Here is a 9,423-nt window from a genome sequence, read left to right as displayed (position 1 = left end):
AAGTCTGTTTTATCAGAGACTAGGATAGCAACCTCTGCCTTTTTTTGTTTTCCATTTGCTTGGTAAATCTTCCTCTTTCCTTTTATTTTGAGCCTATGTGTGTCTCTGCACGTGAGATGGGTTTCCTGAATACAGCACACTGATGGGTCCTGACTCCTTATCCAATTTGCCAGTCTGTGTCTTTTAATTGGGGCATTTAGTCCATTTACATTTAAAGTTAATATTGTTATGTGTGAATTTGATCCTGTCATTATGATGTTAGCTGGATATTTTGCTCACTAGTTAATGGAGTTTCTTCTTAGCCTCGAAGGTCTTTATAATTTGGAATGATTTTGCAGTGGCTGGAACCGGTTGTTCCTTTCCATGTTTAGTGCTTCCTTCAAGAGCTCTTTTAGGGCAGGCCTGGTGGTGACAAAATCTCTCTGCATTTGCTTGTCTGTAAAGTATTTTATTTCTCCTTCACTTATGAAGCTTAGTTTGGCTGGATATGAAATTCTGGGTTGAAAATTCTTTTCTTTAAGAATGTTGAATATTGACCCTCACTCTCTTCTGGCTTCTAGAGTTTCTGCTGAGAGATCCACTGTTAGTCTGATGTGCTTCCCTTTATGGGTAACCCTACCTTTCTCTCTGGCTGCCCTTAACATTTTTTCCTTCATTTCAACTTTGCTGAATCTGACAATTATGCGTCTTGGAGTTGTTCTTCTCGAGGAGTATCTTTGTGGCGTTCTCTGTATTTCCTGAATCTGAATGTTGGCCTGCCTTGTTAGATTGGGGATGTTGTCCTGGATAATATCTTGCAGAGTGTTTTCCAACTTGATTCCATTCTCCCCATCACTTTCAGGTGCACCAATCAGACGTAGATTTGGTCTTTTCACATAGTCCCATATTTCTTGGAGGCTTTGCTCATTTCTTTTTATTTCTCTAAACTTCCCTTCTCGCTTTCATTTCATTCATTTCATCTTCCATCACTGATACCCTTTCTTCCAGTTGATTGCATCGGCTCCTGAGGTTTCTGCATTTTTCATGTAGTTCTCGAGCCTTGGCTTTCAGCTCCATCAGCTCCTTTAAGCATTTCTCTATATTGGTTATTCTAGTTATACATTCGTCTAAATTTTTTTCAATGTTTTTAACTTCTTTGCCTTTGGTTTGAATTTCCTGCTGTAGCTCGGAGTAGTTTCGTCATCCGAACCTTCTTCTCTCAAGTTGTCAAAGTCATTCTCCATCCAGCTTTGTTCCGTTGCTGGTGAGGAACTGCATTCTTTTGGAGGAGGAGAGGTGCTCTGGTTTTTAGAGTTTCCAGTTTTTCTGCTCTGTTTTTTCCCCATCTTTGTGGTTTTATCTACTTTTGTCTTTGATGTTGTTGATGTACAAATGGGTTTTTGGTGTGGATGTCCTTTCTGTTTGTTAGTTTTCCTTCTAACAGACAGGACCCTCAGCTGCAGGTGTGTTGAAGTTTGCTGGAGGTCCACTCCAGACCCTATTTTTCTGGGTAACAGCAGCATTGGCCAGCAGTGGCTGCAGAAAAGCGGATTTTCGTGAACCGCAAATGCTGCTCTCTGATTGTTCATCTGGAAATTTTGTCTCAGAAGAGTACCCAGCCGTGTAAGGTGTCAGTCTGCCCCTGCTTGGGGGTGCCTCCCAGTTAGGGTGCTCAGGAGTCAAGAGTCAGGGACCTACTTGAGGAGGCAGTCTGCCCATTCTGAGAAATCCAGCTGTGTGCTGGGAGAACCGATGCTCTCTTCAAAGCTGTCAGACAGGGACATTTAAGTCTGCAGAGGTTACTGCTGTCTTTTGGTTTGTCTGTGCCCTGCCCCCAGAAGTGGAGCCTACAGAGGCAGGCAGGCCTTCTTGAGCTATGGTGGGCCCACCCAGTTCTAGCTCCCCGGCTGCTTTATTTACTTAAGCAAGCCTGGGCAATCGCGGATGCCATTGCATCCACTTGCAGATTGTACAAAAAGAGGGTTTCAAAACTGCTTAATCAAAAGCAATGTTCTATTCTGTGAGGTGAATACACACATCACAAAGAAGTTTCTCAGAATGCTTCTGTCTGGTTATTATGTGAAGATATTTCCTTTTCCACAACAGGCCTCAAATCTCTCCATATATCCACTTGCAGAAACTACAAAAAGAGTGTTTCAAAACTGCTTAATCAAAAGAAAGGTTTATCACTGTGAAATGAATGCACACATCACAAATAAGTTTCTCAGAATGCTTCTGTGTAGTTTTTATGTGAAGATGTTTCCTTTTCCACCATAGGCCTTAAAGCACTCCAAAAATCCACTTTCATATTCTACAAAAAGAGTGTTTCCAAACTTCTCAGTCAAAAGAAAAGTTCAACTCTGTGACGAAAATGCACCCATCGCAAAGGAGATTCTGAGAATGCTTCTGTGTTGTTTTTATGTGAAGATATTTCGTTTTCCACCATAAGCCTCAAAGCACTCCAAATATCCACTTGCAGATACTACAAAAAGAGAGTTTTAAAACTGCTCAATCAAAAGATAGGTTCAACTCTGTGAGTGGAATGCACACATCAGAAAGAAGTTTCTCAGAATGCTTCTGGGTAGTTTTTATGTGAAGATATTTCCTTTTCCACCATAGGCTGCAAAGGGCTTCAAATATCCACTTGAAGATTACACGAAAGGAGAGTTTCAAAACTGCTCTTTAAAAAGATAGGTTCAACTCTGTGAGCTGAATGCACACATCATAAAGAAGTTTCTCAGAATGCTTCTGTGCAGTTTTTATGTGAAGATATTTCCTTCTTCACATTAGGCCTCAAAGCGCTCCAAATATCCACTTGCAGATTCTACAAAAAGAGTGTTTCAAAACTGCTCCATCAAAAGAAAGATTCAACTCTGTGAGATGAATGCAGACATCACAAAGAAGTTTCTCAGAATGCTTCTGTGTAGTTTTCATGCGAAGATATTTCCTTTTCCACCATAGGCCTCAAAGTGCTCCAAATATCCACATGGAGATCCCACAAAAAGAGTGTTTCCAAGCTGCTCAATAAAAAAAAAAAAAAACGTTCAACTTTGTGAGATGAATGCACACGTCACAAAGAAGTTTCTCAGAATGCTTCTGTGGACTTTTTATGTGAAGATATTTCCTTTTCCACAATAGGCTTCCAAGGGCTCTAAATATCCATTTGCAGATTCTACTAAAAGAGTTTTTCCAAACTGCTCAACGAAAAGAAAGGTTCAACTCTGTGAGATGAATGCACACATCTAAAGAAGTTTCTGAGGATGTTTCTGTGTAGTTTTTATGTGAAGGTATTTCCTTTTCCACAATAAGCCTCAAAGCACTCCTAATATGCACTTGCAGATTCTACAAATAGAGTGTTCCAAAACTGCTCAATGAAAAGACAGGTTCAACTCTGTGAGATAAATGCACACATCACAAAGAAGTTTCTCAGGATGCTTCTGTGTAGTTCTTATGTGAAGATATTTCCGTTTCCACAATAGGTCTCAAGGGGCTCCAAATATCCACTTGCAGATACTGTAAGAAGAGTGTTTCAAAACTGCTCAATAAAAAGAATGTTTCAAATCTGTGAGATGAACACATCTTAAAGAAGTTTCTCCAAATGCTTCTTTGTTGTTTTTATGTGAAGATATTTCCTTTTCCAACATAGGCCACAAAGGGTTCCAAATATCCACTTGTAGATTCAACAAAAGGGAGTTTCAAAAGTGTTCATTCAAAAGATAGGTTCAACACTCTGATTTGAATGCACACATCACAAAGAAGTTTCTCGGAATGCTTCTGTATAGTTTTTTTAGAAGATATTTCCTTTTTCACAATAGGCCTCAAAGTGCTCCAAATATCCTCTTGCAGATTCTACAAAAAGAGTTTTTCCAAACTGCTCAAGCAAAAGAAAGGTTCAACTCTGTGAAATGAATGCACACAACAAAAAGAAGTTTCTCAGAATGCTTCTGTGTAGTTTTCACTTGAATATATTTCCTTTTCCACAATAGGCCTCAAAGCGCCCCAAATATCCACTTTCAGATTCTACAAACAGAATGTTTCCAAACTGCTCAATCAAAAGAAAGTTTCGACTCTGTGAGATGAATGCACACGTCAGAAAAAAGCTTCTCAGAATGCCTCTTTGTAGCTTTTATGTGAAGATATTTCCTTTTCCACAATAGGCCTCAAAGTGCTCCAAATATACACTTGCAGATTCTACAAACAGAGTGTGTCAAAACTGCTCAATCAAAAGAAAGGTTTAGCTCTGTGAGATGAATGCACACATCACAAAGTAGCTTCTCAGAATGCTTCTGTGTAGTTTTTATGTGAAGACATTTCCTTTTCCACCGTAGGCATCAAAGCGCTCCAAATATCCACTTGCAGATTCTACAAAAAGAGTGTTTCCAAACTGCTTAATCATAATATAGGTTCAACCCTGTGAGGTGAATGCACACATCACAAAGAAGTTTCTCAGAATGCTTCTGTGTAGTTTTCATGTGAAGATATTTCCTTTTCCAACATAGGCCACAAAAGGCTCCAAATATCCACTTCTGGATTCTAAAAAAGGGAGTTTCAAAAGTGCTCATTGAAAAGATAGGTTCAACACTGTGAGTTGAATGCACACATCACAAAGAAGTTTCTCAGAATGCTTCTGTGTGGTTTTTTGTGAAGATATTTCCTTTTTCTCAATAGGCCTCAAAGTGCTCCAAATATCCCCTTGCAGATTCTACAAAAAGAGTGTTTCCAAACTGCTCAAGCAAAAGAAAAGTTCAAATCTGTGAGATGAATGCACACAACAAAAAGAAGTTTCTCAGAATGTTTCCTTGTAGTTTTTATGTGAATATATTTCCTTTTCCACAATAGGCCTCAAAGCACTCCAAATATCCACTTTCAGATTCTACAAAGAGAATGTTTCAAAACTGCTCAATCAAAAGAAAATTTCAACTCTGTGAGATGAATGCACACATCACAAAAAAGCTTCTCAGAATGCCTCTGTGTAATTTTTATGTGAAGATATTTCCTTTTCCACAATAATCCTCAAAGCGCTCCAAATATCCACTTGCAGATTCTCCCAACAGAATGTTTCAAAATGCTCAATCAAAAGAAAGCTTTAGGTCTGTGAGATGAATGCACACATCACAAAGTAGCTTCTCAGAATGCTTCTGTGTAGTTTTTATGTGAAGACATTTCCTTTTCCACCATAGGCCTCATATCACTCCAAATATCCACTTGCAGATTCTACAAAAAGAGTGTTTCCAAAGTGCTGAATCAAAAGAAAGGTTCAACTCTGTCAGATGAATGCACACATCACAAAGAAGTTTCTCAGAAAGCTTCCATGTATTTGTGTGTGTGTTTGTGTGTGTGAGAATCTCTTTTTGTGTGTTTTTTTAATTGTTATTATACTTTAAGTTTTAGAGTACCTGTGCACCATGTGCAGGTTAGTTACATATGTATACCAGTGCCATGCTGGTGTGTTGCACCCATTAACTCGTCATTTAGCATTAGCTATATCTCCTAAAGCTATCCCTCCCCCAACCCCTGACTCCACAACAGTCCTGAGTGTGATGTTCCCCTTCCTGTGTCCATGTGTTCTCATTATTCAATTCACACCTATGAGTGAGAATATGCGGTGTTCTGTTTTTTGTACTTGTGATAGTTTACTGAGAATGATGATTCCCAATTTCATCCATGTCCCTACAAAGGACATGAACTCATCATTTTTTATGGCTGCATAGTATTCCATTGTGTATATTTGCCACATTTTCTTAATCCAGTCTATCATTTTTGGACATTTGTGTTGGTTCCAAGTCTTTGCTATTGTGAATAGTCCTGCAATAAACATACTTGTGCATGTGTCTTCATAGCAGCATGGTTTATAGTCCTTTGGGTATATACCCAGTAATGGGATGGCTGTGTCAAATGGTATTTCTGGTTCTAGATCCCTGAAGAATCCCACACTGACTTCCACAAAGGTTGAACTAGTTTACAGACCCACCAACAGTGTAAAAGTGTTCCTATTTGTCCACATCCGCTCCAGCACCTCTTGTTTCCTGACATTTTAATGATTGCCATTCTAACTGGTGTGAGATGGTATCTCATTCTGTTTTTGATTTGCATTTCTCTGATGGCCAGTGATGGTGAGGATTTCTTCATGTGTTTGTTGGCTGCATAAATGTCTTCTTTTGAGAAGTGTCTGTTCATGTCCTTCACCCAATTTTGATGGGGTTGTTTGTTTTTTTCTTGTAAATTTGTTTGAGTTCATTGTAGATTCTGGATATCAGCCCTTTGTCAGATAAGTAGGTTACAAAAATTTTCTCCCATTCTTTAGGTTGCCTGTTCACTCTGATGGTAGTCTCTTTTGTTGCTCAGAAGCTCTTTAGTTTAATTAGATCCCATTTGTTACTTTTGGATTTTGTTGCCATTGCTTTTGGTGTTTTAGACATGAAGTCCTTGCCCATGCCTATGTCATGAATTGTAATGTCTAGGTTTTCTTCTAGGGTTTTTATGGTTCTAGGTCTAATACTTAAGTCTTTAATCACCAATCCCACAGAAATACAAACTACCATCAGAGAATACTACAAACACTTCTACAGAATTAAACTAGAAAATCTAGAAGAAATGAATAAATTCCTTGACACATACACTGTCCCAAGACTAAACCAGGAAGAAGTTGACTCTCTGAATATACCAATAACAGGATCTGAAATTGTGCAATAATAAATAGCTTACCAACCAAAAAGAGCCCAAGACCAGATGGATTCACAGCTGAATTCTACCAGAGGTACAAGGAGGAACTGGTATCATTCCTTCTGAAACTATTCCAATCAATAGCAAAAGAGGGAATCCTCCCTAACTCATTTTATGAGGCCAGCATCATCCTGATACCAAAGCTGGGCAGAGATACAATCAAAAAAGATAATTTTAGACAAATATCCTTGATGAACATTGATGCAAAAATCCTCTATAAAATTCTGGCAAACCCAATCCAGCAGCACATCAAAAGGCTTATCCACCATGATCAAGTGGACTTCATCCCTGGGATGCAAGGCTGGTTCAATATATGCAAATCAATAAATGCAATCCAGCATGTAAACAGAACCAAAGATGAAAACCACATGATTATCTCAATAGATGCAGAAAAGGCCTTTGACAAAATTCAACAACTCTGCATGCTAAAAACTCTCAATAAATTAGGTATTGATGGGACGTATCTCAAAATAATAAAAGCTATCTATGACAAACCCACAGCCAATATCATACTGAATGGGCAAAAACTAGAAGCATTCCCTTTGAAAATTGGCACAAGACAGGGATGCCCTCTCTCACCACTCCTATTCAACATAGTATTGGAAGTTCTGGCCAGGGCAATTAGGCAGGAGAAGGAAATAAAGTGTATTCAATTAGGAAAAGAGGAAGTCAAATTGTCCCTGTTTGCAGATGACATGATTGTATATCTAGAAAACCCCATTGTCTCAGCCGGAAATCTCCTTAAGCTGATAAGCAATTTCAGCTAGGTCTCAGGATACAAAATCAATGTACAAAAATCACAAGCATTCTTATACACCAGTGACAGACAGACAGAGAACCAAATCATGAGTGAACTCCCATTCACAATTGCTTCAAAGAGAATAGAATACTTAGGAATCCAACTTATAAGGGACATGAAGGACCTCTTCAAGGAGTACTACAAAACACTGCTCAATGAAATAAAAGAGGATACAACCAAATCGAAGAACATTCCATGCTCATGGGTAGGAAGAATCAATATCATGAAAATGGCCATATTGCCCAAGGTAATTTATTGATTCAATGCCATCCTCATCAAGCTACCAATGACTTACATCACAGAATTGGAAAAAACTACTTTAAAGTTCATATGGAATCAAAAAAGAGCCCGCATCACCAAATCAATCCTAAGCCAAAACAACAAAGCTGGAGCCATCACGCTACCTGACGTCAAACTATACTACAAGGCTACATACTATACTACAAAGCAGCATGATACTGGTACCAAAACAGAGATATAGATCAATGGAACAGAACAGAGCCCTCAGAAATAATGTTACATTCATACAACTATCTGATCATTGACAAACCTAAGAAAAACAAGAAATGGGGAAAGGATTCCCTATTTAATAAATGGTGCTGGGAATACTTGCTAGCCATATGTAGAAAGCTGAAACTGGATCAATTCCTTACACCGTGTAGTTTTTATGTGAAGATATTTCATTTTCAACAATAGGCCTCAAAATGCTACAAATATCCACTTGCAGATTCTACAAAAAGAGTGTTTCAAAACTGCTCGATGAAAACAAAGTTCAACTCTATGAGATGAATGCACACTTCACAAGATATTTCTCAGAATGCCTCTGCGTAGTTTTTTTGTGAAGATACTTCCCTTTCCACAAAAGGCCTCAAAACGCTCCATATATCCACTTGCATATTCTAAAAAATGAGTGTTTCAAAACTGCTGAATCAAAAAACGTTCAACTCTGTGAAATGAATGCACACATCACAAAGAAGTTTCTCAGAATGCTTCTGTGTAGTTTTTATATGGAGATATTTCCTTTGCCACCATAAGCTGCAAAGGGCTCCAAAAAACAACTTGAAGATTCTACAAAAAGAGAGTTTCAAAACTGCTCCATGAGAAGATAGGTTCAACATTGTGACTTGAATGCACACGTCAGAAAGAAGTTTCTCAGAATGCTTCTGTGCAGTTTTTATGTGAAGATATTTCCTTTTCCACAATAGGCCTCCAAGCTCTCTAAATAACCACTTGCAGATTCTACAAAAACAGTGTTTCAAAATTGCTCAATCAAAAGAAAGGTTCAACACAGTGAGATGAATGCACACATCACAAAGAAGTTTCCAATAATGCTTCTATGTAGTTTTTATGTGAAGATATTTCCTTTTCCACAAAAGGCCAGAAAGTGCTCCAGATATCCACCTGGATATTCTACAAAAAGTGTGTTTCAAAACTGCTCAATCAAAGGAAAGGCTGAACTCTGTGAGATGAATCCACATAGCACAAAAGAAGTTTCTCAGAATGCTTTGGTGTAGTTTTTATGTGAATACATTTCCTTTTCCAACATAGGCCACAAAGGGCTACAAATATCCACTTGCAGATTCTACAAAGTAGAGTTTCAAAACTGCTCTATCAAAAGATAGGTTCAGCTCTGTGAGATGAATGCACACATCACAAAGTAGTTTTTCACAATGCTTCTGTGTAATTTTTTGTGAAGAAACTTCATTTTCCACAATAGGTCTCAAAGCGCTCCAAATATCCACTTGCAGATTCTACAAAATGATTGTTTCCATACTGCTCAATGAAAAGAAAGGTTCAACTCTGTGAGATGAATGCACACATCACAAAGAAGTTTCTCAGAATGCTTCTGTGCAATTTTTAAGTGAAGATATTTCCTTTCCACAATAGGCCTCAAAGTGCTTCAATTATCCACTTGCAAATTC

At 38.3% G+C, this 9,423-nt stretch overlaps 4 annotated features.

The window, feature by feature from the left end:
* Positions 2,617 to 3,126: an enhancer, noted in NCBI's record as "OCT4-NANOG hESC enhancer chr19:27814077-27814586 (GRCh37/hg19 assembly coordinates)". NCBI's record gives its function as "activates a minimal SCP1, AML or CMV promoter by ChIP-STARR-seq in primed H9 embryonic stem cells {active_cell/tissue: H9 hESC(primed)}" and the evidence as "EXISTENCE:reporter gene assay evidence [ECO:0000049][PMID:30033119]".
* Positions 3,179 to 3,680: an enhancer, noted in NCBI's record as "NANOG hESC enhancer chr19:27813523-27814024 (GRCh37/hg19 assembly coordinates)". NCBI's record gives its function as "activates a minimal SCP1, AML or CMV promoter by ChIP-STARR-seq in primed H9 embryonic stem cells {active_cell/tissue: H9 hESC(primed)}" and the evidence as "EXISTENCE:reporter gene assay evidence [ECO:0000049][PMID:30033119]".
* Positions 3,983 to 4,726: an enhancer, noted in NCBI's record as "OCT4-NANOG hESC enhancer chr19:27812477-27813220 (GRCh37/hg19 assembly coordinates)". NCBI's record gives its function as "activates a minimal SCP1, AML or CMV promoter by ChIP-STARR-seq in naive and primed H9 embryonic stem cells {active_cell/tissue: H9 hESC(naive and primed)}" and the evidence as "EXISTENCE:reporter gene assay evidence [ECO:0000049][PMID:30033119]".
* Positions 8,472 to 8,973: an enhancer, noted in NCBI's record as "NANOG hESC enhancer chr19:27808230-27808731 (GRCh37/hg19 assembly coordinates)". NCBI's record gives its function as "activates a minimal SCP1, AML or CMV promoter by ChIP-STARR-seq in primed H9 embryonic stem cells {active_cell/tissue: H9 hESC(primed)}" and the evidence as "EXISTENCE:reporter gene assay evidence [ECO:0000049][PMID:30033119]".

This window comes from Homo sapiens, chromosome 19 (assembly GCF_000001405.40).
Source record: "Homo sapiens chromosome 19, GRCh38.p14 Primary Assembly".
Classification (NCBI taxonomy): Eukaryota; Metazoa; Chordata; class Mammalia; order Primates; family Hominidae; genus Homo; species Homo sapiens.
Note: the sequence above shows the minus strand (reverse complement) of the source record. Positions and strands in the feature narration are given on the sequence as shown.